Here is a 26,215-nt window from a genome sequence, read left to right on the forward strand (position 1 = left end):
GAATTCAATGGAATGGAATTCAATGGAATGCAATGAAATACAATGGAATGGAATGCAATGCAATGCAATGCAATGGAATGCAAAGGAATGGATGGTGAAATTAAATGTGAGCTGAGATAGTGCCACTGCACTCCAGCCTGGGTTACACAGTGAGATCTTGTAGAAAGTTAGGAATGGAATGGAATGGAGTAAAATGGAATGGAATGGAATCGAATGGACTGCAGGGGAGTGGAGTGGAATGGATTGTAATGGAGTTGAATGGAATGGGATGGAATGGAATGGAATGGAGTTGACTGGAGTGGAGTGGAGAGGAGTGGAGTGAAATGGAATGGGATGGAATGTAATGGAGTGGAGTGGAGTGGAGTGGAGTGGATTTGATTGGAGTGGAGTGGAATGGAGTGGAACGGAATGGAATGGAATGGAACGGAATGGTGAAATGAAATGTGAGCTGAGATTGTGCCACTGTATTCCAGCCTTTTTTGACACAGTGAGATCCTGTCAAAGGAAAGAAATGGAATGGAATGGGTTGGAATGGAATGGAGTGGAATGGAATGGAATGGAATGGAATGGAGTGAAATGGAAAGGTGAAATGAAATGTGAGCTAAAATTGTGCCACTGCACTCCAGTCTCGGTGACAGAGTGAGATCCTGTCGAAAGAAAATATCGGAATGGAATGGTGTGGACTGGAATGGCATGTAGTGGAATGGAGTGGAAAGGAGTGGAATGGAATAGGATGGAATGAAATGGAGTGGAGTGGAGTAGTGTGGAATGGAATGGAGTGGAGTTGAGTGGAAAGGAGTGGAGGGGAGTGGAGTGGAATAGAATGGAATGCAATGGAATGGTGAAAAGAAATGCGTGCTGAAATTGTGCCACTGCATTACAGCATGTGACAGAGGGAGATCCTGTCGAAGAAAAGGAGTGGAATGGAAGGGATTAGAATGGAATGGAATGGAATGGATTGAAGTTGAGTGGAGTGGAATTGAGTGGAGTGGAGTGCAGTGGAATGGAATGAAATGGAGTGGAATTGTGAAATAAAATGTGAGCTGTTATTGTGCCACTGCACACCAGCCTAGGTGACACAGTGAGATCCTGTCAAAAGAAAAGAATGGAATGGAATGGAGTGGAATGGAGTGGAATTTAATGGAATGGATTGGAGTGGAGTGGAGTGGAAAGAGTGGAATGGAATGGGATGGAATGGAAAGGAGTGGAGTGCAGTGGAATGGAGAGGAGTGGAGTGGCATGGATTGGAGTGGAGTGGAGTGGAGTAGAGTAGAATGGAATGGAATGGAATGGAGTGGAGTGGAATGGAATGGAATGGAATGGAATGGAATGGAGAAATGCAATGGGAGCTGAGATTGTGCCACTGTACTCCAGGATGTGTCAGAGAGAGAGATAGTCTCGAAAGAAAGGAATGGAATGGAATGCAGTGGAATGGAATGGAATGGAATGGAATGGAATGGGGTTGACTGGAGTGGAGTGGAGTGGAGTGAAGTGGAGTGGAGTGGAGTGGAATGGCGAGGAGTAGAATGGGATGGAATGGAATTGAATGATGTGGAGTGGAGTCGGGTGGAGTGGAGTTCATTGGAATGGAGTGGAATGGAGCGGAATGGAATGGGATGGAGTGGAATGGAGAGGAGTGGAGTGCAGTGGAGAGGAGAGGAGTGGAATTGAGTGGAATGGAATCGGATATAATGGAATGTAGTGGAGTAGAGTGGAGTGGAGTGGTGTGGAAAGAAGTGGAATGAAATGGAATTGAATTGAATGGAATGGAATTGAATGCAATGCAATGGAAAGTTGACATGTAATGTGAACTGAGATTGTGCCACTGCACTCCAGCCTGGGTGACACAGTGATATCCTGTCGAAAGAAAGGAATGGAATGCAATGGAGTGAAATGTAATGGAATGGAATGGAGTGGAGTGGAGGGGAGTGGAGTGGAGTGGACTGGAGTGAAATGGAGTCGATTGGAATGAGATGGAGTGAAATGGAATGGAGTGGAGTGGACTAGAGTGAAATAGAGTGGAAAGGAATTGGATGGAATGGAATGAAATGGAATAGTGAAAAGAAATTTGAGCTGAGATTGTGCCACTGCACTCCAGCCTTTGTGAAAGAGTGAGATCCTATGGAAAGAAAGGAATGTGATGGAATGGAGTGGAATTGTATGGAATGGAATGGAGTGAAGTGGAGTGGAGTGGAGTGGAGTCGAGTGCAATGGAGTGGAATGGAATGGGATGGAAAGGAATGGCATGGAGTGGAGTAGAGAGGAGTGGATTGGAGTGGAGTAGATTAGCATGGAGTGGAATGGAATGGGATGGAATTGAATGCCATGGAATGAGGTGGAGTGGAGTGGACTGGATGGAGTGGACTGGATTGGAGTGGAGTAGAGTGGAATGGAGTGGAGTGGAATGGAATGGAATGGAATGGAATGCAGCGGAAAGCAATGGAATGGAATGCTATGGAATAGATTGGAATGGAGTGGTGAAATGAAATGTGAGCTGATTTTGTGCCAATGCCCCCCAGTCTGGTTGACAGGGTTACATGCTGTCAAAAGAAAGGAATGGAATGGAATGAATTGGAGTGGAGCTGAGTGGAGTGGAGTGGTGTGGAGTGGAATGGAGTGGAATGGAATGGGATGGAGTGGAATGGAATGGAGTGTATTAAGTGGAGTGGCATGGAGTGAAATGCAGTGGAATGGAATGCGACGGAATGGGATGGAATAGAATGGAGTGGAGTGGAGTGGAATAGAGTGGACTGGAGTGGAATGGAGTGGAATGTAATGGAATGGAATGGAGTGGATTGGAGTGCAGTGAAGTGGAGTGGAATGGAATGGAATGGAATGGAATAGTGAAATGAAATGTGAGGTGGGATTCTGCCACTGCACTCCAGACTGGGTGACAGAGTGACATCCTGTCGAATGTGAGGAATGGAGCGGAATGGAGTGGAATGGAATGTAGTGGAGTGGAGTGGAATGGAACGGAGTAGAAAGGAATGGAACGGAATGGAGTGGAGCGGAGTGGAGAGGAGTGGAGTCGAATGGAATGGAATGGGATGGAATCGAATGGAATGAAGTGGAGGGGAGTGGAGTGGAGTTTTGTGGAGAGGAGTGGAGTGGTCTGGAATTGGATGGAACTGAATGGAGTTCAGTGGAGTTGGGTGGAGAGGAATGGAGTACACTGGAGTGGAATTGAATGGAATGGAATGGAGTGGAGTTGAGTGAAGTGGAGTGGAGTGGAGTGGAATGCAATGTAGTGGAATGGAATTGAATGGAATGGAAAAGAATGGAATGGAATAGAATGGAATGATGAAATGAAATATGAGCTGAGATTGTGCCACTGCACTCCAGCAGGGTGACAGAGTGAAATCCTGTTGAAAGAAAGGAATGGAATGGAAAGGACTGGAATGCAATGGAATGGAATAGAGTGGAGTGGAGTGGAGTGGAGTGGAGTGGAGTATAGTGGAAGGGAGTGGAATGGAATGGGATGGAATGGAATGGAGAGGAATACACTGGAGTGTAGTGGAGTGGAATGGAATGGAATGGAATGGAATGGAATGGAATGCAGTGGAGTTTAGTTCACAAGAGCGGAATGGAATGGGATGGAATGGAATGGAATGCAATGGAATGGAATGCAATGGAATGCAATGGAATGGAATAAAATGGAATGCAATGGAAGGGAATTGTGAAATTAAATGTTAGCTGAGATAGTGCCACTGCACTCCAGCCTGTGTGACAGAGTGAGATCCTGTCGAAAGAAATTAATGGAATGTAAGGGTGTGAAGTATGATGGAATGGAATGGAATGGAGTGGAGTGGAGTGTAGTGGAATGGAGCGTAATGGAGTGGAATGGAATGGGATGGAGTGGAATGGAATGGAGTGGAATGGAGTAGATTGAATTGGAGTAGAGTGGAGTTGACTGGATTGAAGTGGAATGGAGTGGAGTGGAATGGAATGGAATGGAGGGGAGTGGAGGGAGGTGGAGGGGAATGGAGTGGAGTGGAATGGAATGGTGAAATAAAATGTGAGCTGAGATTGTGCCACTGTGTTCCAGCCTTTTTTGACATAGTGAGATCCCATCAAAAGAAAGGACTGGAATGGAATGGGGTGGAATGGAATGGAGTAGAATGGAACGGAGTGGATTGGATTGGAGTGGAGTGCATTGGAGTGGAGTGGAGTCCAGTGAAATGGAGTGAAATGGAATGGAAGGGAATGGAATGGCATGTAGTGGAGTGGGGTGGAGTGAATTTGAGTAGAGTAGGGTGGAATGGAGTGGAATGGAGTGGAATGGAATGGGATGGAAGGGAATGGCATGGAGTGTAGTGGAGTGGACTGGAGTGGGTTAGAATGGAATTGAATGGAATGGTATGGAATGGAATGGAATGGAATGCAATGGAATGGAATGGTGAAATTGAATGTGAGCTGAGATAGTGCGACTCCACTCCAGCCTGGGTGACAGATTGAGATCCTGTCAAAAGAAAGGAATGGAATTGAATGGAGGGGAATGGAATGGGATGGAGTGGGGTGGAGTGGAGTGGAGTGGAGGGGACTGGATTTGAGTGGAGTCTAGTGGAACAGAGTGGAATGGAATGGGGTGGAGTGGAACGGAATGGAATGGAGAGGAGTGGTGTGGAGTGGAGTGGATTGGAATTCAATTGGATGGAATGATATGGAGTGGAGTGGAATGGAATGGAATGGAATGGAATGGAATGGAATGGAATGGAATTGGAATGGAATGGAATGGAATGGAATGGAATGTTGTGGAGTGTATTGGAATGGAGTGGAATGGAGTGAAATGGAGTGTAATGTAATGTAGTGGAATGGAGTGGAGTGGAGTGCAGTGGAGAAGGGTGTAGGGGAATGGAATGGAATAGTGAAATGAAATGTGAGCTAAGATTCTCCCACTGCACTCCAGACTGTGTGACAGAATGAGATCCTGTCGAATGGAATTGAATAGAGTGCAATGGAATGGAGTGCAGTGGAGTGGAGCAGAGTGGAGTGGAGTGGAGTGGAATGGAATGGAATGGGATGGAATCGAATGGTATGAAGTGGAGGGGAATGGAGTTGAGTGGAGGGACGAGGAGTGGAATGGAATGGAATTGGAAGGAATGGGATGGAGTGGAGTGGAGTGGGGTGGAGAGTAGTGGAGTAGAGTGGAATGGAATGGAATGCAATGGAATGGAGTGGAGTGGAGTAGAGTGGATTGGAGTGTAATGGAATAGAATGGAATGGATAGGAATGGAATGGTATAGAATGGAATGATGAAATGAAATATGAGCTGAGATTGTGCCACTGCACTGCAGCCTGGGTGACAGAGTGAGATCCTGTCAAAGGAAAGGAATGGAATGGAAAGGTGTGGAATGGAATGGAATGGAATGGATTGATTGGAGTGCAGTGGAGTGGAGGTGAGTGGAGTTCACAGTAGTGCAATGGAATGGAATGGAGTGGAGTCGAGTGCAGTGGAGTGGGTTGGAATGGAATGGAGTGGAATGAAATGGGATGGAATGGAATGGAGTGGAGTGGAGTTCACAGGAGTGCAATGGAATGGGATGGAATGGAATGGAATGGAATGGAATGGAATGGAATGGAATGGAATACAATGGAGTGGAATGCAATGGAATGCAATCGAATGGAATTGTGAAATTAAATGTGAGCTGAGATAGTGCCACTGCACTCCAGCCTGTGTGACAGAGTGAGATCCTGTTGAAAGAAATTAATGGAATGTAAGAGAGTGAATTATACTGGAATGGAATGGATTGGAGTGGAGTGGAGAGGAATGGAGCTTAATGGAGTGGAAGGGAATGGGAAGGAGTGGAATAGAATGGAGTGGAGTGGAGTGGAGTGGAGAGAAATGAGGTAAAATGCAATGGGATGGACTGGAATGGAGTGGAGTGGAGTGGAGTGAATTGGAATGGAGTGGATTTGACTGGATTGCAGTGGAATGAAGTGGAGTGGAATGCAATGGAATGGAATGGAATGGAGGGGAGTGGAGTGGAGTTGAGGGAAATGGAGTGGAGTGGAATGGAGTGGAATGGAATGGAATGGAATGGTGAAATAAAATGTGAGCTGAGATTGTGCCACTGTGTTCCAGCCTTTTTTTGACACAGTGAGAGCCCGTCAAAGGAAAGGAATGGAATGGAATATGGTGGAATGGAATGGAGTGGAGTGGATTGGAGTGGAGTGGAGTGGAGTCAAGTGGAACGGAGTGGAATGGAATAGGATGGAATCGAATGGCATGTAGTGGAGTGGGATGGAGTGAATGTCAGTGGATTAGGGTGGAATGGAGTGGAATGGAATGGGATGGAAGGGAATGGCATGGAGTGTAGTGGAGTGGACTGGAGTGGGTTAGAATGGAATTGAATGGAATGGTATGGAATGGAATGGAATGCAATGCAATGGAATGGAATGGTGAAATTGAATGTGAGCTGAGATAGTGCCACTCCACTCCAGCCTGGGTGACAGATTGATATCCTGTCAAAAGAAATGAATGGAATTGAATGGAGGGGAATGGAATGGGATGGAGTGGGGTGGAGTGGAGTGGAGTGGAGGGGACTGGATTTGAGTGGAGTCTAGTGGAACAGAGTGGAATGGAATGGGGTGGAGTGGAACGGAATGGAATGGAGAGGAGTGGTGTGGAGTGGAGTGGATTGGAATTCAATGGGATGGAATGGTATGGAGTGGAGTGCAGTGGAATGGAATGGAATGGAATGGAATGGAATGGAATGGAATGGAGAGGAGAGGAATGGAGTGGAATGTAGTGTAATTGGAAAGGATGGAATGGAATGGAATGCCATGGAATAGAATTAGGAATAGAATGGAATGATGTGGAATGGAATGGAGTAGAATTCAGTGGAGTGGAGTGGAGTGGAGTGGAATGTAATGTAATGGAATGGGATGGGATGGAGTGGAATGGAATGGAGTGGAGTGGAGTGGAGTGGAATGGAGTGGAATGGAATGGGATGGGATGGAATGGAGTGGAGTGGAGTTGAGTGGATTGGAATCGAATGGAATGGAGTGGAGAGGAGTGTAGTGGAATGGAATGGAATGGAATGGAATAGAAGGGAATAGAATGGTGAAATGAAATGTGAGCTGCGATTGTGCCACTGCACTCCATCCCGGGTGACAGGTGAGATTCTATCGAAAGAAAGGAATGGAACGGATTAGAGTGGAATGGAATGGAGTGGGGTAGAGTGGAGTGGAGTGGAGTGGAGTAGAGTGGAATAAAGAGGAATGGAATGGGATGTAATGGAAAGGAATGCAGTGGAGTGGAGTAGAGTGGAGTGGAGTGGAGTGGTGTGGAGTGGAGTGGAGTGGAATGGAATGGAATGGAATGGAATGGAATGGAATGGCACGGTGAAATGAAATGTGGGCTGAGATTGTGCCACTTCACTACAGCCTGGGTGACGGAGTGAGTTCCTGAAGAAATAAAAGAATGTAATAGAATGGATTGGAATGAAATGGAATGGAGTGTAGTGGACTAGAGTAGAGTGGAATGAGGTGGAGTAGAGTGGAAGGGAATGGAATGAAATGAGATGGAATGGAATGGAATGTAATAGAATGGAATGAAGTGGAGTGGAGTGGAGTGCAAAAATCCTCAATAAAATGCTAGCAAACCGAATCCAGCAGCAAATCAAAAAGCTTATCCACCATAATCAAATGGGTTTCATCCCTGGGATGCAAGGCTGGTACAACATACGCAAATCAGTAAACGTAATCCATCATATAAACAGAACCAACGTCAAAAACCACGATTATCTCAATAGATGCAGAAAAGCCCTTTGACAAAATTCAACAACCTTCATGCTAAAAACTCTCAATAAATTAGATATTGATGGGACGTATCTCAAAATATTAAGAGCTATTTATGACAAACCCACAGCCAATAGCATACTGAATGGGCAAAACCTGAAAGCATTCCCTTTGAAAATCTCAGTTACCTTTCTTTTGGATATGTGTGTGAGGAAAGAGTACCTACAAACTACCCTTTTAGTTAAATGCCATATACAATAAATATTAATACCTACAGTCCTCATGTTGTACATTAGATCCCTCAATTTGTTAATTCTACATATCTGCAACTTTGCATCCTTCGAATTCTCTATCTCCATTTTCTCTTCTCACCCCCAGCCCCTGGTAACCACTGTTTTATACTCTATCTCTGCATATTTAACTTTTTGCTGTTTTTGTCCTGAGAAGTTTATTGGGACTTTCAGCTAGGAGATAATATGTTCTGAGTCTTGATTATCTCAAATTATAGCAGGTAAGAAGTTTTACTTGTCTGGAGAGCAGAGAGCAAGTGCATAATTTTATGCAGAAGAGGGAATAAAGAGAATTCTCTAATTAAAATTTGAATCAGAAATATGGTTCATATTTTTATGTACAACAATCTCTAAGGCTTCTTGGAAAGGAACTAGCTGCCTGATTTTTTTTCATTTGAATCCTCTAATACATGAAGAGGATGATTCTACCATACCAATCACAAGAATGATATCTGTAGAATCAAAAGTTGAAATCCTATTATCCTAGAACTTTTTTCAGAAAACTTGAACATGTATTGAAATGTCATGCTGGTCATATATGTTACAGCAATGAGGAATTTACTTATTATATACTTTAGCTTTTTAGCCCTTTCCCTGCCCACCAGAAATGTTTCTTTTGAATCCAATTTGGTCCTCAGAGTTTTAGAATGTTAAGGAATGTATAGGGGTTTCTTTTTTCTTCTTTTTTTTTGTCAAGCTATTGTATATTTTTACTTTACCTGTTTGGGTATGTAGTTACTATTTGTTTGGACTGTCATACTAGAAAAAAAATTATAGTGAATTTTACATGTATGGAGTCTTCATTAATCTGTATAAACTGACAAGTTTAGAATATCAAAGTCAACACTGTAAAAAATAAAGTGATATTTTATCTGGTCTATCTCCTTGCAAATAAAAGAACAATAAATTCTGTACTATTATGAAATATAAGAGCTTGAAAATTTTTCAAGTGCCCTGTATAGAATGGCCTTCGAAATCAAGGTATAAACTACAACAAAACACTTTCGAGATCTAGTTTGATTGAAGAGTGCATTCTTACTTATTTATATATTCTCTGCAATTTCTGATTCAAGATAGTCCACAATTCTAAAGGAAAACCAAAATAGAATAATAATTACAAAACAAAATAAAAAGTAATTGAGGAAGATAATTGAGCAACTTATTCTTGACAACTAGCTTTTTAACAAACAGAAAAGTGCACTAAAAATACTGCCTAGTTGTTTAAAGTAGGCTGAGATCTGACTGTATCCCCTGAGTGTCATAAAGAAAAAATTACCTTTGAGGGAGCACAGTGATTAAATTTAAAAGATTTATTGTTTAACCTCAGGAAGACTTTCAGTAACTTTTTATAAATTGTATACAGTTAATGGAAGACATGCTAGGCTTCTTGTAAGAATTTGTTCCAGATCACTGTGTATAATTAATGGCTTGTCTACATATTTTTTTCAATAAAACTGTTCATGAAGAATTTTAAGTATGCACTTTCAGTACCAGAATGAATATATCTTTGTGAAGATACCATTTATGTACCATAACATCCAAAGCATAATGAGGAGATTTTGATACACTGCAGATTTAAAACTGAGTTGGAAAACAAAACTTCAACATACTGTCTTGTCAGCACAAAGCAAATAAATTCATCACTGTCAGTTGATATTTAAATTCACAAACTTATAAGCAATAAAATCAAAGTAATTTTGTTATAAGTTTTTTGACACCAGATTATGTGGGGTAAATAATTTACTTTCTAATCAAGCAATTGATACATATAAACCTGAAATAGAGAGTTTTGCCTTTTAATTAGATACATTGTTACGCAAAGAGTAGTTGAAGCTGCAGTTGAGAATTATCTTTTTCTCTTTTTGCTGTTCTTACAAGGACAGTTTCTAGAATTGTTTTCAAAACAATAGAACAGAAAATTTCACTTACTCACTTAATTTAACTTTTGTTAAAGTACTTTGCCAAAATTAGGAAACTATGAAAGGAAAGTTTGCCTTTTCAATATATATGTAAGTGGCAAGTAAAAGTTGTTCTTAAATCACGTGATCTCATAGAAATAACATGGGATAAAAAGAGTTCTGAAGGTGTTCAGGAAATGCCAGTCCTAAATGGATTGCTTTGGTGTACTGATTACATTGAACTGAAAATATTTGAAAAATAACAACTGTGGAACATGCTTTCTCTGCACTCCCTTTACGTTCCTCAAGAGAGATCCTCCAAAAGGAATTTTCAATACCAGAATGAATGTATCTTTGTAAAGATACCATTTATCTACCATAACATCCAAAGCATGATGAGGAGATTTTTATACACTGCAGATTTAGAACTGAATTGGAAAACAAAGCTTCAAGATACTGTCTTGTCAGCACAAAGACATTCATCTCCTTCCTAGGAGTTTCATCAGCCAGGGAAAATTGACTCCTCATATCACAGGAGACAAGACTAAGAGTCCATTCCACACCAAGGCACACTGCCACAAACTATCATCTATGCTCCTAGGGGTCTGGTCATCTTTCCCAAAAGTCATTTGCTCTCCCTTAAGTTTCCTACATTCTTCCTCCTGCCTTCCCTACAAGCTCCTAAATCTCACTGGGGTTTTTTCTTGGTGGTGTTTTGTTTGTTTTGTTTTGTTTTGTTTTTGATTCCACTTTTCTTTCCTGTGATTCCCCCATGCGTGTAATAAATGTGTACACATTTTCTTCTTTTGACATGCCTGTTATCCATTTATTCAATAGACTCAGTTATCATACCTTCAGAGGGTAGAGGGAAAGGTCTCCAAGTCCTACAGTTCCAAAAGAAAATAGCTAGTAATGCAAATGCAAAAGTCATATAAACTTTGAGACAAAGTTAGCGTCTTATACGGTACGTTCAGAAAGAAGAGGTGTGTTGCACACCAAGGGATATTTTCCTGGTCTTAGCTACTAAGTTTCTCTGAGAAGAAGCAGTTACTACTACAGCAGTTAAACACCTGACTCCCAAATTATAAAAGCCTAAGTGTTCAGATTAAATCATGAGTTGTCACCTGTGAATCATAAAGTCTGAACTCTTGAAATTGCAAACACACATAGAAAAGCGATTCTTACACAGGGATCCATGAGTGGAACTGCAAAGTTTTGTAAAAATCTATATATATGTTTTCTTTTTAAGGGCAATAGATTTCAATATGTGTTAAAAGATTTCTGGAGCTAGTAAAGATTAATAACCATTTTCATTTTTGTGCTGAAATTGGTAAATCATGGCTTTTCTCCCTCCAACACACCCCCTCCCGCCTCAGCACACCACTGGTTAATCTTTATTTTCAGGAGAGAAAAAGATGTTTCATATTAATAAAGGTAAATTATACACTTGTTTGTTTTATACTTTTCCACCTCTTAAGCTTAATCGTGTTTTAATAATGTATAATTGAATACATTAACATTTAGATGTTAGTAAAGGAATAACAAATGTTCATTATTTCTCTTGAGTAGAGGAATAAAAATTTTGCACCTGTTGTATAGAATGATTTTTAAAATCTCATTCAATCCTTCAGAAGTTTAAGATTTTTTTTCAAGAATTTTTATATAAAATTTTTACTCAGAAGCAGATAGCTCACAAAAAGTATGGGGTTTTTTTGGATTATAAATAAACTATTCCACTCACCAAGATGCTGAGACATCCTACTTTCTGGTATTTTGAAATAAAAACAAAACACAAGAATGTGACGATGAAGCAAGTGAAAATTAAAAGGGTACAGACTTTAGAAGTATCATAAGCTAAAAATAAAATGAAACAAATCTGTAAAGGAACCAAAAGCCCAGGTAGATATAATACAGTAAATTATGAGAAGCTAAAAAAAATGAGGAGGTGATAAACAATAAAGTGAAAATCTCTGATAAAGCCAAAACTACTTGAATGGCAGTCAACAAAACAGAAGAAAAAAATGACACTCATAACAAGGCAGAACTATGGAAATGCATCCCTGGGGGTAAGATAATAGAGTTGCGAATTAGTGGAGGTGGATCACCAATACTGGCCAAATAAAGCCCGCTAACATAATTCAAAGGACGGAGAAATTCTGTAGCTGAAGATAAAAAGTCTGAAATACATTATGGTATAGTCAAATGAGTGTCATTTCTAACAGACACACTTATTTTTCAAGAGTTGATAATAAGAAGTAAAAATTTAGTATGCAAAGTTCAAATTTTCCATTTGTTGAGTAATTCATTTTTATTAAATATTTTCCAACAATTAAAGTGGTACCAGAACAGAGTAGACATTCTGAGTTTTCACTTTACAAAAGCTACACATAAATCTACGTACTTCTTAAGGGTATAAATAAAGTCAGAGCCTGTGTGATATTTCAATAAACAATTGGAGAAAATTTTTTTAAGAATAGATTATATACATATTGACCTCTTTGAGAACCTTATTTTTTTCTTTTTTTGTGTGTGTGTGGACATATGTTTTCATTTCTTTTTTAAATTATTATTATTATACTTTAAGTTTTAGGGTACATGTGCACAACGTGCAGGTTCGTTACATATGTATACATGTGCCATGTTGGTGTGCTGCACCCATTAACTCGTCATTTACATTAGGTGTATCTCCTAATGCTATCCCTCCCCCCTCCCCCCACCCCACAACAGTTCCCAGTGTGTGATGTTCCCCTTCCTGTGTCCATGTGTTCTCATTGTTCAATTCCCACCTATGAGTGAGAACATGTGGTGTTTGGCTTTTCATCCTTGTGATAGTTTACTGAGAATGATGGTTTCCAGCTTCATCCATGTCCCTACAAAGGACATAAACTCATCATTTTTATGGCTGCATAGTATTGCATGTTGTATATGTGCCACATTTTCTTAATCCAGTCTATCATCGTTGGACATTTGGGTTGGTTCCAAGTCTTTGCTATTGTGAATAGTGCCACAATAAGCATATGTGTGCATGTGTCTTTAGAGCAGCATGACTTATAATCCTTTGGGTACATACCCAGTAATGGGATGGCTGGGTCAAACGGTATTTCTAGTTCTAGATCCCTGAGGAATCACCACACCGACTTCCACAATGGTTGAAATAGTTCACAGTCCCATCAACAGTGTGAAAGTTTTCCTATTTCTCCACATCCTCTCCAGCACCTGTTGTTTCCTGACTTTTTAATGATTGCCATTCTAACTGGTGTGAGATGGTATCTCATTGTGGTTTTGATTTGCTTTTCTCTGATGGGCAGTGACAGCATTTTTTCTTGTGTTTTTTGGCTGCATAAATGTCTTCTTTTTAGAAGTGTCTGTTCATATCCTTCTCCCACTTTTTGATGGGGTTGTTTTTTTCTTGTAAATTTGTTTGAGTTCATTGTAGATTCTGGATATTAGCCGTTTGTCAGATGAGTAGGTTGTGAAACTTTTCTCCCATTCTGTATGTTGCCTGTTCACTCTGATGGTGGTTTCTTTTGCTGTGCAGAAGCTCTTTAGTTTAATTAGATCCCATTTGTCAATTTTGGCTTTTGTTGCCATTGCTTTTGGTGTTTTAGACATGAAGTCCTTGCCCGTGCCTATGCCCTGAATGGTATTGCCTAGTTTTTTTCTATGGTTTTTATAATTTTAGGTCTAACATGTAAGTCTTTAATCCATCTTGAATTAATTTTTGTATAAGGTGTAAGGAAGGGATCCAGTTTCAGCTTTCTACATATGGCTTGCCAGTTTTCCCAGCACCATTTATTAAATAGGGAATCCTTTCCCTAGTTCTTGTTTTTGTCAGGTTTCTCAAAGATCAGATAGTTGTAGATATGCGGCATTATTTCTGAGGGCTCTGTTCCATTCCATTGGCCTCTATCTCTCTTTTGGTACAAGTACCATGCTCTTTTGGTCACTGTAGCCTTGTAGTATAGTTTGAAGTCAGGTAGCGTCGTACCTCCAGCTTTGTTCTTTTGGCTTAGGATTGACTTGGCAATGCAGGCTCTTTTTTGGTTCCATATGAACTTTAAAGTAGTTTTTTCCAATTCTGTGAAGACAGTCATTGGTAGCTTGATGGGGATGGCATTGAATCTATAAATTACCTTGGGCAGTATGGCCATTTTTACAATATTGATTCTTCCTACCCATGAGCATGGAAGTTTCTTACATTTGTTTGTATCTTCTTTTATTTCATTGAGCAGTGGTTTGTAGCTCTCCTTGAAGAGGTCCTTCACATCCCTTGTAAGTTGGATTTCTAGGTATTTTATTCTCTTTGAGGCAATTGAGATCCTTATTGTGAGATTCAATTCAGAATCTGGGATTTTGTTTTGTTTTGAGATGTAGTCTCTCTCTGTCACCAGGCTGGAGTACAGTGACACAGTCTCTGCTCACTGCAATCTCTGCCTCCCAGGTCCAAGCATTTCTCCTGCCTCAGCCTCCCAAGTAGCTGGAACTACAGGCACGTGCCACCATACCCAGCTAACTTTTGTATGTTTTTTTAGTAGAGATGGGGTTTCACCATATTGGCCAGGATGGTCCGGATCTGTTGACCTTGTGATTTGCCTGCCTCAGCCTCCCAAAGTGCTGGGATCACAGACGTGAGCCACTGCGCCCAGCCCAGAATCTGGGTCTTAACCAGATTTGCCATTATAAAATGAAATGAAACCAAAACCACCAGTCAATATCTGTAGCAGTGTTATTGTTGGGGAGCATGCACGTTTGTTTGAGCTTACTTATATATACAGAGCTGTTTAGCTTAATCTTTAAATTGAAAATTTTTAGTATTTTTAGAATGTTTTAGATACTTTGATGAATAAATTTTGTGGTAACAAACTACTATTAAAAAAACTTATAAATTAAATATTTCTGAACACATTGGCAGATGTAAATGACAAAGTTATATTCACACAATCAGTTTTTCTTGCACAGAATTGACATTTTGTCAAAAAGTTAAAATCTTTGAAATGTATTTTCTGTCCTCATCTTTCCCCTTTTGAGCATTTTTCCCCCTGGGTTGGTTATAAAATGTTCCCTAACTTCAGGCATCTGGTTAAGTTTTGGGTTTTCTCCCTTCCTACCAACTCATATGGATTGGTAATGATCTGATAGAAGACAATTGCCAAAAATCAATCAAATATGTTTTAAATGAAACTTCTCCAATATAATATTCATATTAATCCTTCTTTAATTGCTGAATGAGTAATAATTGTTCACTGACCCTTAAAATCCTAAAACTTAATCAGCTCACTGGAGTGGATGAATGGATATTTGTCTAGATGAGAATGCTTAAGGTCTACTTGAAGGAGTTCATAATAGTAAAAATGTCCTTTTCTTCCATCAGAAACTTCATCCTGGATCTTTTCATCCTTGTTTTTCTACTAGCTCTCCTTCTCCAAATACACTGACTTGGAACCCCAGTTTCAGTGGTGGACTGCGTGGATTTGATTCTAAGCTATGCTATAATGAGAAAGTAGCTCTAACCCTATTCTCATTTTCTTCACCTGTAATATAGAAATCATCATCAGACAATATACAGATAGGGGCCAGTTATTTCACAGATAATAATAGGTGAAAATGGAGAGTATGTGGGTGTAGACATGGGAAAGTGAGTTTAAATGGTTTCAGGAATCTGGGGAAGTTGTCTTTGGATGATTCAATGTTCTCAGGGAAGCACACCCAAAAAGACATTGAGGATTTCTGGGGAAGTGCTAGGGATTAGAGACAGGATAAGATACAAAACTAGGTAAATTAGAGAGTGAATAGATTGGAACATATGTAGTATGATTGATTGATAGGCGGCACTCAGATTCTCAGTTTCAAGTGGGATATTTTTCAATTTGATCCATATAGCTAGTTGCTCAAATGTATGTGGGGATTTGGTGGAAATTTGGATCTAACCAGGGTTATTTTCCTGGTTAGATTCAGCAAAGTGAAAGAGAAACAAGGAAGTTGAAGTTTCCTGGGAATGGTTGGCCACGGAATTTAGGCAGGAGAACAGGAAATAGAGTACATCAGTAGGTAAGGGTCATTATGAATATGATAAAATAATAGTTTGGAGGTCTCAGAGAGATTGAAAAATTTTATGTCAGCGTATGAAAGGGAATGATTAAAGGAGGAGTTCAGAGAATGGGATGAATGAAATTGTGACTACAGAGGAGTTGTTATTATAAGTAACGACGATGCTTCACTCAGTCCCTCTGGAAGTGTGGTCCCTGTGCTAGCAGCAACAGCATCACCTGGGAACTTACTAGAACTGCATATTCTCAGGTTACACCCCCAGATCTTCCAAATCTGAAATTCCAATAGCAGGTCTCAGCAATCTCTTATTGTAACACAACTGTAGGCAATTTTGAGGCACACAGTAGTTAGCACAACTGGTCTAGTGTATGTCTTATTTGGTCTTCCTCCCCGGTTCACAGTACAGAGCTCCTAAAACTTGAAATTTCCTGATAGAGATGAGAGGACCATCCTTTACTAGTCATAAGTCCCTCTTAGCCATACCTGAGTTTATGCTATTGACATGACATGAGTGGTGGCTGGAGACCCATATGGCTTCAAGGTGGGTGCTTGACACCAGAAACATGAAGGCATAACTAGATGGTTAAAACTGTCAGCCCTCTCCTCCATCACCTCTGAGGTGCTGGGAGGGTGATACAATGATATACTTAGAGGTCATATGGCAGCTTTGTGCCCCTTTTCACCATACCTGGCCCTATGTGTCTCTTCTATTTGACAGTTCCTGATTTGTATCAGACAGTAACTGTAAGCAAAGTGCTTTCTTGGGTTCTGTGAGCCATCTTAGCAAATTATAGAACCTGGGAAAGGAATCCATGGAAGTCCTAATTTATAGCCAGTTGGTCAGGAGTATGACAGGCCCACAACTCCTCTCTAATGGTGGGGGGGGGCAGTCTTGTGGGCCTGAACCCTGAACTTGTGGGATCTGATGCTATCTCCAGATAGATAGTCTCAGGATTGAATTGAATTGTAGGACACCATTTGGTGTCCTGAGAGTTGAAAAATTGATTGGGGTGAGAATAAATCCACAAATTTCATCTCAGAAGTTTGAGTAGAAATAACTCTGTTGGAAAACATTATCGTTAGATCAAAGGTGTTAATAGATCTGAGAGATCAAAATGGCAAAGAGTCATCTATGATTACACATTGTTGACATAAACTAGAATTAAGACAAGAATATGTCAAAGAGAGTTACATTGAGCCAGGGATAAAAATAGTCAATCGATTGATTAGAATTTAGTAAATGCTATTTTTTGAAAAATTAATCTTTAGTTAATTAATGGAGATACTTAATTATCTCCATTTTGAATTTATAACTAAAAAATTGCTATATTATCTATTTTCCATAAATGGAAATTGAAAAGCAATAGCAAAATGCTTCGACAGAAAATCTGTCCTTCTTATTCCCAAGAGGAAGAATGGCCAACTACCTTAAGAAAAAGTTAGAAAAACTTTCATAATTTTTTAAGTTGCCATATTTTATAGCTTTGAACAAGTTGAATTATTAACTAGACTGCCCAGGGAATGGAGCCATCTAATATAATTTCCTTACTATTTAGATAAAATCTTTGTTGTTGAAAATCTTAATCATTTTTAATGATCCTGTTTTCAGAGCCTGATATTAATGATTCGTGAAACTCATTAAATGCAGTTATGCATCTGATTTGAAAATCATGAGGGGGATTTTTGGTCAGATATGCATAGCAAATCTATGTCACTAGACATAAGTCCCTTCTACCCATGCCACAACCTTTATGTCTACTCTTGAATTGAGGTTTTGCTACGTTTTATTTTTGAGGTTTAAGAATTATTCATTTAACTGTCGGAAAATTGTGTTTCTCTTGTTAGAATAGAGCCCAATTTATCCTTTCTATTTTTCATGGAGACATGAAAGGATGTGAATTTGCAATCAGAGAAACCTGAGTTCCACCATGCTTTCTTCCTCTTGCAAGCCATGAAATCCACAGTGGGTTAGTGGATATTACAAAACCTCTGGTCCCACCTTATTAAGATGGAAAAAAATAAGACTAATTGAAAGAACAAATGTGATAATGAGAAGAAATGGTATCAATAAAGTTCCTGGAACACAGTAAGTTCTAACAAATGCTAGTTCTTTTCTTTCATAATTCAAAATGTAAATAGAAGCCAGTTGGTAATTCCAAGATAATAGTATGAAGACAAAAAAAAATGTTTGTTAACTGACCTTCAACCATTGAGACCTTATCTTATAGGAAGCAAAATTAACAAATATTTTCTCCCTTCTACAAATGTATACCCTCTGAGAAAGAGAGACAGTGTTCCAATCAAGATGATGACAGTATTCTGTGCACACATAGGAAAGGAAGAAGAATAAGAGAGAACCTTTAAAAAGACAATTTTAGATAGGCATCCTATTTTTACCGGCAATAACATTTTTTAGAACTTACGGCATACAAAATAGACCTTAAATGGACTCAGTGTTGAGAAATTTTTATAAGGCTGCTTTATTTTCTTCTATGGTAAATCTAGGAACCAATAAAATAGCTTTGATAATTCACTCATTACATTCTTTCCTAACTAAACTATTTACATTATAAACTTTGTTGATATGCTGTGCTTTTGCATTAATAATTCTCATGTGTCTCATTTGTGAATACATGAAAACTAGTTGTAAAATAAGGAAAATGTAATTTTGAAACATCTTCAAAAACAGTTGCATAATTTAACTAATGTTTATAAATTTTCGTCCTTACTCTAAAACCATAGATATCCTAAAAGTGATTGAAGGTAAAATGATTTTTAAAGAACTGGATTTCTCACCATGAGTTATTTTATCTCCATACAAACTGTGGTAGTGTTATACAATGGTTAAGAAGAAATTACTTAAAAATGAGAATAAAGATACAGCTTATTAACACTTCATTTTGTGGATGAGACCTGAAAAATTAAACTTTTCTTCTAGAGACAAGTTGTAGTTGTGTATATAGAGTGTGAATAGTGTCCATATTTTACTGTCATTATTTAAACAGAAACATGTAATTTGCACTTCAAAAACCTACTACAAATTAACTGTGTCATTTGAAGTGTCAAAATTATCTCATTAATGATCAGATAGGCTTTTGGCTCATTGTAATGAGATGTTCCTATAAACCTAATTTGAAAGACAAAGACAGAGTTTGGAGTCTTTAATTCTTGGTAAAATCAGTAGCTCTATTTAGGGCTATATTTGCAAAATACTATTTCAACTCAAGCATATTTTTATTTACAAGGCACTTCACAAATGTTGACCACAAAGATGTTTCTACCTAGCAGAAATAATTATAGTTACATATAGTTGTCTAGGAATATCTTAAACATGGGGTATTAAAATAACTTTCAAGAACAAGAAGAAATGTTACACCAGGCATTTTTGCAACTAGTGCTCTATTTCAGTGCAATATTTGTGGCAATTAAAAAACATAAATGGCTTGGATATATAGCTAAGTTATCAAAGGAAAAATATGCAAAGGCATGATTATTTTATAAATGTGCCACATATGTGACTTGAGGTACAAATCCTCTAAGTTTAAAATTGTCTTTTTAAAAAAGAAATCAAAACAGACAAGTGGGCAATGAGTTATGGATACTATTATAGGGTACCCTGATAAACTAGTAAGAAGACGACTTTTGGTACTGAAAATTCCAATTAACCACATGCCCCCATTAAGGCCATGATCACTGCCAATTTTTACTCACAAAGGCTGGAGCTAGAGTTATATGGAATTCCATATGTATCTAAACCATAGATTTATCAATTATCACTTAAATACAACTTGGAGGACACTATCCAGAATTTGTAGGGCTTGGCCTTATTCTAGAGAAACAAACACTGGAATAGGCAGTTGGATTTTAAATTCAGTCTTAAATCTGTTGAAAATAATGCATTTTTTTCTCAGAGATGAGATATTGTTCAACTCTTTTGACTTATTTTAGATTTGATATTATACAGTTCAAACACCATGGAGATTTACTAATCTGAATGAACACATACCAAATTAGTCTTTGCTCCAGTCTCGAAATCTGAGATTAATTCTGGCTGCTGAAGAAATTTTCCAGTGTTAGGAGTATGCTTCAATGCTGGTGACCAGTACTACTTTCTGGTAAACTATAGATGACATGTGCGCTTTCATTGCCTAAACTCACTTTGTAGAACACCATTAAATGAAAATCATCACCAGCAATTTGGGAGGCTAAGGCGGGCAGATCATTTGAGGTCAGGAGTTTGAGACCAGCCTGGCCAACATGATGAAACCCCGTCTCTACTGAAAATACAAAAACTTATCCAGGCATGGCGGGATGCACCTGGAATCCCAGCTACTTGGGAGGCTGAGGCAGGAAAATCGCCTGAACCCAGGATGTGAAGGTTGCAGTGAACAGAGATGTTGCCATTGCACTCCAGCCTGGGCAACAGAGTGAGACTTCATCTCCAAAAAAAGGAAAAAATGAGAGAGAGAGAGAAAAAAAATTATCAGTGTTCAGTGACTCTTTGTTTTTCATGCTGATAAACTATTACGCAGAAAAAGAAAATTTTCATGCTGATAAACTATTACACAGAAAAAGAAATGTATCCATTATGGACAATTAAAAGGGCTATACAATCTCTCTCATTGTATGATTCTGGTTTTCTTTATTTTTCTTTTCTTTTTTTCTTTTTTTTTTTTAATACAGGATCTCACTCTCTCACCCAGGCTGGAATGCAGTGGCTCTATCTTGACTCACTGCAACCTCAGCTTCCTGGGTTCAAGCTATTCTCCTGCCTTAGCCTCCTGAGTAGCTAGGAATAAAGGCATTCACCACCACGCCAGCTAATTTGTGTATTTTTTTAATACAGGTGGCGTTTTGCCATGTTGCCCAGGCTGGTCTTGAACTCCTGACCTCAAATGATCCTCCTGCCTCGGCCTCCCTAAGTGTTGGCATTACAGGCATAAGCCACCATGCTTGGCCCGATTCTGTTTTTTAACACAATTCTTATTACTTCCGTTTTAATTTTACAAAGCCATAGGTTTTTAATCTGGGAAACCTTTGAGAAAACATCCAGATAAATTTATAAATAGAAAAATAAATTCAGACAAATAGAATTAAGTTTATGATCTAACAAGTGGGTGGCAACCGAAAACTTTCCAAGTTCCATAAACTGAAGTGAAAGGATCACTTTCCTGAAAATATTACAAAGGCTTGATAATTACCTGGATTGTACTAAAACCTACACAATCTAGTATATTCTATAGCAGCAATTCATAAAGACAGCTTCACTTACCATGTAGAATTTATACGTACACTAAATTTAAGGAATGCGTTACTTGCTATTGGAGTAGGATAATAAACTCCCAGCAGAACTGATTTTCATGAATGCCTATTAAACTATCATTGATGTAGAAATTAAACAATATATTAAGCTATTCAGACCCAGATTGTGAGAGACAGAGAAAAACTTCAAAAAAGTTCAGCTACCAAATCCCTTCCTCAATAGCTCTTTGAGTCTCAAGACAGTTTCAACCACACACATCCTCAGAGTCTTATGGTCCAAACAACATTTGACTGCAGCTCTAAAGTAAGCAAACATTTGAAAAGAAACTCAAAGATCTATGCCTGTAGTTATGGTCAAGGAGGTCCACCTACTGGTGGGTGAGCATGGCAAGGATAGGGACTAAGCCAAATGATGGGTTTACCAAAACAGAAACAAGAGAAGTCATTGGAAGCACAGTCCAGGTTATAACAGGAGCCCAGGCACTTGATGTGGGAACCCTATTTGTCTCATTCAGCACCTAGAGTTTTAACGTCCTATGAGGCACAGCTAATGCCCTTCATTATTTTTTTGTAATTGACTGCATAGTTTAGAACTATGCCTTGAATTTAATATCTATCTGTTGAATAAATGAATTAATAATGATGAAAATCTGTCCACAGGTTATGTGCAGTACTGAAGAGCAACTTCAGCTATTGAGGTATCTATCAGAAGTCTTACTCTCCAAAAAGCCTCTGGTTAGTTACTGATATACGTTGCTGATAATTTCACTCTCACAATGTAGGGGAAGCAGGAATATTATCTGGCCTCTTGGTTCCTCTTCCTTTGACTTCCACAGATCTCTCTGCTGGTTCACAGAGGAACACTTTCGTGGCTCTCAGTTCATTTTGCAATTCTGCTAGAATCTCATTCCATCCTCAGTTGTAACTACCTTGTCCTTCACCCAAAGCTTATTTACGGAGGGACAGATAGCAAGAAGAAATCGCACTCTGGATTACAAAGTGGGAAGACGCACCCCTTGGCCAGAATGCCTGCCTCCTATGTTCATGAAGGATATTTCTAATTGATCTCAGCACTCTTTTCCATTGAGCCCATGTCCCAAATTGGCCGTGAGTTAGGGAGAGGGCTCTAGAGTGGGAAAGGTGTACCCAAAACTTCCCTAATCTGACTATCAAGCCTAAAAAATTAAACTTTCAATTCAACATCCCTTGTTTCTCCAACTTGGAGTGCTTGATGGTGTGGGAAGCCCCTACTCATAAAAATTCATAGTTGAAGATTGTTGGTAATTTTGCCCAACCTCCTTCTTTTCTTTTTATTCTACTTTAAGTTCTAGGGTACATGTGCACAACGTGCAGGTTCATTACATATGTATACATGTGACATGTTGGTGTGTTGCACCCATTAACTCGTCATTTACATTAGGTATATCCCCTAATGCTTTTCCTTCCCTAGCCCATCACCCCACAACAGGCCCCGGTGTGTGATGTTCCCCTTCCTGTGTCCATGTGTACTCATTGTTTAATTCCCACCTATGAGTGAGAACATGTGGTGTTTGTTTTTTTGTCCTTGTGATAGTTTGCTGAGAATGATGGTTTCCAGCTTCATCCTTGTCCCTACAAAGGACATGAACTCATCATTTTTATGGCTGCATAGTATTCCATGGTGTATATGTGCCACATTTTCTTAATCCAGTCTATCATTGTTGGACATTTGGGTTGGTTCCAAGTCTTTGCTATTGTCAGTAGTGCCTCAATAAACTCCTTCTTTCTTTGCCTAGTTACACCTCAATGCAACCTCCTGGCAGGCCAGCCTTAAGCCCAGCAGTCCAACCATGCATCTAAGCTGAGTTCTCATCAGAGCCAACTTCAATTATAAACAACTGAGATGATGCCAGAGGCCAGAATCCCTGAGAACCCAATTTGCTGTCATCACCACAGCTGAAACAAGGTGCTTGGCATCTAGAAAAGCTGATCTGTAGGAAATTTCCAATAGAGTTCAACTTTTTCTAAGTTTAAAGTGTACAATATCACCAAGGTGAGACACTCAAGATAAAACTAGGCTTGTGTTTAAATATAATAAAAATATTTGAAGAATAGTAAGAGTGGTGACTACTTTTACACAGGAATGTTTCAAATAAATTGTTTTTTTCTTGTGCCTTTTAAATTTTGTGATTTGTCAATGAGATGCTGACATGTTTTTAATGAAGCATGCCTTGTAAAATAATAAGTGAATGAAAACTACACCGTAATATTTACATCAACAAAGCTAGAAGAAGACTGTATGTCTCAAGAGGCTCCATCATCTACCCAGTGGCCACTTCACCAAATTAAGATCCAAATACCAAAAAGAAAAGTAATTAAAATTTGTGTTGTATGCCTTATAAGACCAAACCTATAAAATGAGGGGAAACTTCACAATTACTTGTAATTTGCTCTGTGGAATTGTAACAGATGGATTATAAAGATGATTCCATGATAAACATCTAAATGTGGTTACTACCTTCTGTGCTTTCTTGGTTCATATTTTTATTGTTTTTTTCTTTATAAACAGATAATTCATTCTTATCTATGGCAATGCAAACTTTTCAGATGCATTGAATATGTCATAGTTTTTTTCTATTGTAGGCATCTCTAAAAAAGTTATAGAAAACAAACAGAGAAAAGTCTGGTGTTGGAAAGGAGAGAGAAATAAAGCTTGTAAAGGAATGAAGATTAGAGCTTTCTGGAGATAAAAATTCTTAGAAGATACAAAAGCTAGTTACTGAATTAGATGAAGGTTCTTTTTCAGTTTTTCCCAGTTGTTCACCTCTTAGAAGGCACATATTCACAGCAGAAAAGAAAAAAAGTGTTAAAAAGAAAATACTTCGGTGTAGTGAGACTGTAATTTCATGAGGGCATTACTGAAGACTCACTTTTTCCAGCATCACTCAGCATGGTATTATGCACGTGTGTAATGTAAAGGAAAGTGAATATGCATTCTTGGATGGGTGATCAAATCGTAATTCCAGAATATAATCAGAAGCTGATTCATTATCCTCTTGAGATTTCACAATCTTTTCATCAGGAATTAAAATTCAGAAGAGGGTAAATGTATCTAATCAGTTGAAAGTTAAAAATTAGAGGATGGAGGCAACATGGCCGAATAGGAACAGCTCCAGTCTACAGCTGCCAGCGTGAGTGATGCAGAAGACAGGTGATATCTGCATTTCCAACTGAGGTACCAGGTTCATCTCACTGGGGAGTGCTGGACAGTGGGTGCAGCGCACCATGCATGAGCCAAAGCAGGGAAAGGCATCACCTCACCTGGGAAGCACAATGGGTCAGGGAATTCCCTTTCCTAGTCAAAGAAAGGGGTGACAGATGGCACCTGGAAAATCAGGTCACTCCCACCCTAATACTGCGCTTTTCCAACAGGCTTATCAAATGGCACACCAGGAGATTGTATCCAGCACCTGGCTTGGAGGATCCTACACCCACGGAGCCTAGCTGTTTGCTAGCACAACAGTCTGAGATCAAACTGCAAGGTTACAGTGGGGCTGGGGGAGGGGCGCCCACCATTGCTCAGGCTTGAGTAAGTAAACAAAGCAGCCAGGAAGTTCGAAATTGGTGGAGCCTAACACAGCTCAAGGAGGCCAGCCTGCCTCTGTAGGTTCCACCTCTGGGGGCAGGACACAGACAAACAAAAGACAGCAATACCCTCTGCAGACTTAAATATCCCTGTCTGACAGCTTTGAAGAGAGTAGTGGTTCTCCCAGCATGCAGCTTGAGATCTGAGAACGGGCAGACAGCCTCCTCAAGTGGGTTCCTGACCCCTGAGTAGCCTAACTGGGAGGCACCCCCAAGTAGAGGCAGACTGACATCTCACATGCCCGGGTACCAATCTGAGTCAAAACTTCCAGAGGAACGATCAGGCAGCAGCATTTGCAGTTCACCAATATCCACTGTTCTGCAGCCACCGCTGCTGATACCCAGGCAAATAGTGTCTGGAGTAGACCTCCAGTAAACTCCAACAGACCTGCAGCTGAGGGCCCTGACTGTTAGAAGGAAAACTAACAAACAGAAAGGACATCCACACCAAAACCCCATCTGTATGTCACCATCATCAAGGACCAAAGGAAGATAAAACCACAAAGATGGGAAAAAACAGAGTAGAAAACCTGGAAACTCTAAAAATCAGAGTGCCTCTCCTCCTGCAAAGGAATGCAGCTCCTCACCAGCAATGGAACAAAGCTGGACGGAGTATGACTTTGACGAGTTGAGAGAGAAAGGCTTCAGAAGATCAAAGTACTCCGAGCTAAAGGAGGAAGTTCGAACCAGTGGCAAAGAAGTTAAAAACTTTGAAAAAAAATTAGACGAATGGATAACTAGAATAACAAATGCAGAGAAGTCCTTAAAGGACCTGATGGAACTGAAAACCATGGCACAAGAACTACATGACAAATGCATAAGCCTCAGTAACCGATGTGATCAACTGGAAGAAAGATTATCAGCGATGGAAAACGAAATGAATGAAATAAAGCATGAAGAGAAGTTTAGAGAAAAAGGAATAGAAGAAATGAACAAAGCCTCCAAGAAATATGGGACTATGTGAAAAGACCAAATGTATGTCTAATTGGTGTACCTGAAAGTGACGGGGAGAATGGGACCAAGTTGGAAAACACTCTGCAGGATATTATCCAGGAGAACTTCCCCAATCTAGTAAGGCAGGCCAACATACAAATTCAGGAAATACAGAGAATGCCACAAAGATACTCCTCGAGAAGAGCAACTCCAAGACACATAATGGTCAGATTCACCAAAGTTGAAATGAATGAAAAAATTTTAAAGGCAGCCAAGAGAAAGGTCAGGTTACCCACAAAAGGAAGCCCATCAGACAATCTGCTGATCTCTCCTCAGAAACTCTACAAGCCAGAAGAGAGTGGGGGCCAATATTCAACATTCTTAAAGAAAAGAATTTTCAACCCAGAATTTCATATTCCG

At 39.5% G+C, this 26,215-nt stretch overlaps 10 annotated features.

Annotated features, from left to right (window-relative positions):
- Positions 707–1,522: an enhancer, noted in NCBI's record as "OCT4-NANOG-H3K27ac-H3K4me1 hESC enhancer chr1:142536141-142536956 (GRCh37/hg19 assembly coordinates)". NCBI's record gives its function as "activates a minimal SCP1, AML or CMV promoter by ChIP-STARR-seq in primed H9 embryonic stem cells {active_cell/tissue: H9 hESC(primed)}" and the evidence as "EXISTENCE:reporter gene assay evidence [ECO:0000049][PMID:30033119]".
- Positions 1,523–2,339: an enhancer, noted in NCBI's record as "OCT4-NANOG-H3K27ac-H3K4me1 hESC enhancer chr1:142536957-142537773 (GRCh37/hg19 assembly coordinates)". NCBI's record gives its function as "activates a minimal SCP1, AML or CMV promoter by ChIP-STARR-seq in naive and primed H9 embryonic stem cells {active_cell/tissue: H9 hESC(naive and primed)}" and the evidence as "EXISTENCE:reporter gene assay evidence [ECO:0000049][PMID:30033119]".
- Positions 2,340–3,155: an enhancer, noted in NCBI's record as "OCT4-NANOG-H3K27ac hESC enhancer chr1:142537774-142538589 (GRCh37/hg19 assembly coordinates)". NCBI's record gives its function as "activates a minimal SCP1, AML or CMV promoter by ChIP-STARR-seq in naive and primed H9 embryonic stem cells {active_cell/tissue: H9 hESC(naive and primed)}" and the evidence as "EXISTENCE:reporter gene assay evidence [ECO:0000049][PMID:30033119]".
- Positions 3,973–4,788: an enhancer, noted in NCBI's record as "OCT4-NANOG-H3K27ac-H3K4me1 hESC enhancer chr1:142539407-142540222 (GRCh37/hg19 assembly coordinates)". NCBI's record gives its function as "activates a minimal SCP1, AML or CMV promoter by ChIP-STARR-seq in primed H9 embryonic stem cells {active_cell/tissue: H9 hESC(primed)}" and the evidence as "EXISTENCE:reporter gene assay evidence [ECO:0000049][PMID:30033119]".
- Positions 4,789–5,604: an enhancer, noted in NCBI's record as "OCT4-NANOG hESC enhancer chr1:142540223-142541038 (GRCh37/hg19 assembly coordinates)". NCBI's record gives its function as "activates a minimal SCP1, AML or CMV promoter by ChIP-STARR-seq in naive and primed H9 embryonic stem cells {active_cell/tissue: H9 hESC(naive and primed)}" and the evidence as "EXISTENCE:reporter gene assay evidence [ECO:0000049][PMID:30033119]".
- Positions 5,605–6,420: an enhancer, noted in NCBI's record as "OCT4-NANOG hESC enhancer chr1:142541039-142541854 (GRCh37/hg19 assembly coordinates)". NCBI's record gives its function as "activates a minimal SCP1, AML or CMV promoter by ChIP-STARR-seq in naive and primed H9 embryonic stem cells {active_cell/tissue: H9 hESC(naive and primed)}" and the evidence as "EXISTENCE:reporter gene assay evidence [ECO:0000049][PMID:30033119]".
- Positions 6,450–6,992: an enhancer, noted in NCBI's record as "OCT4-NANOG hESC enhancer chr1:142541884-142542426 (GRCh37/hg19 assembly coordinates)". NCBI's record gives its function as "activates a minimal SCP1, AML or CMV promoter by ChIP-STARR-seq in naive and primed H9 embryonic stem cells {active_cell/tissue: H9 hESC(naive and primed)}" and the evidence as "EXISTENCE:reporter gene assay evidence [ECO:0000049][PMID:30033119]".
- Positions 6,993–7,534: an enhancer, noted in NCBI's record as "OCT4-NANOG hESC enhancer chr1:142542427-142542968 (GRCh37/hg19 assembly coordinates)". NCBI's record gives its function as "activates a minimal SCP1, AML or CMV promoter by ChIP-STARR-seq in primed H9 embryonic stem cells {active_cell/tissue: H9 hESC(primed)}" and the evidence as "EXISTENCE:reporter gene assay evidence [ECO:0000049][PMID:30033119]".
- Positions 17,363–17,864: an enhancer, noted in NCBI's record as "NANOG hESC enhancer chr1:142552797-142553298 (GRCh37/hg19 assembly coordinates)". NCBI's record gives its function as "activates a minimal SCP1, AML or CMV promoter by ChIP-STARR-seq in naive H9 embryonic stem cells {active_cell/tissue: H9 hESC(naive)}" and the evidence as "EXISTENCE:reporter gene assay evidence [ECO:0000049][PMID:30033119]".
- Positions 21,402–21,984: an enhancer, noted in NCBI's record as "OCT4-NANOG hESC enhancer chr1:142556836-142557418 (GRCh37/hg19 assembly coordinates)". NCBI's record gives its function as "activates a minimal SCP1, AML or CMV promoter by ChIP-STARR-seq in primed H9 embryonic stem cells {active_cell/tissue: H9 hESC(primed)}" and the evidence as "EXISTENCE:reporter gene assay evidence [ECO:0000049][PMID:30033119]".

This window comes from Homo sapiens (assembly GCF_000001405.40).
Source record: "Homo sapiens chromosome 4 unlocalized genomic scaffold, GRCh38.p14 Primary Assembly HSCHR4_RANDOM_CTG4".
In the NCBI taxonomy this organism is placed as follows: Eukaryota; Metazoa; Chordata; class Mammalia; order Primates; family Hominidae; genus Homo; species Homo sapiens.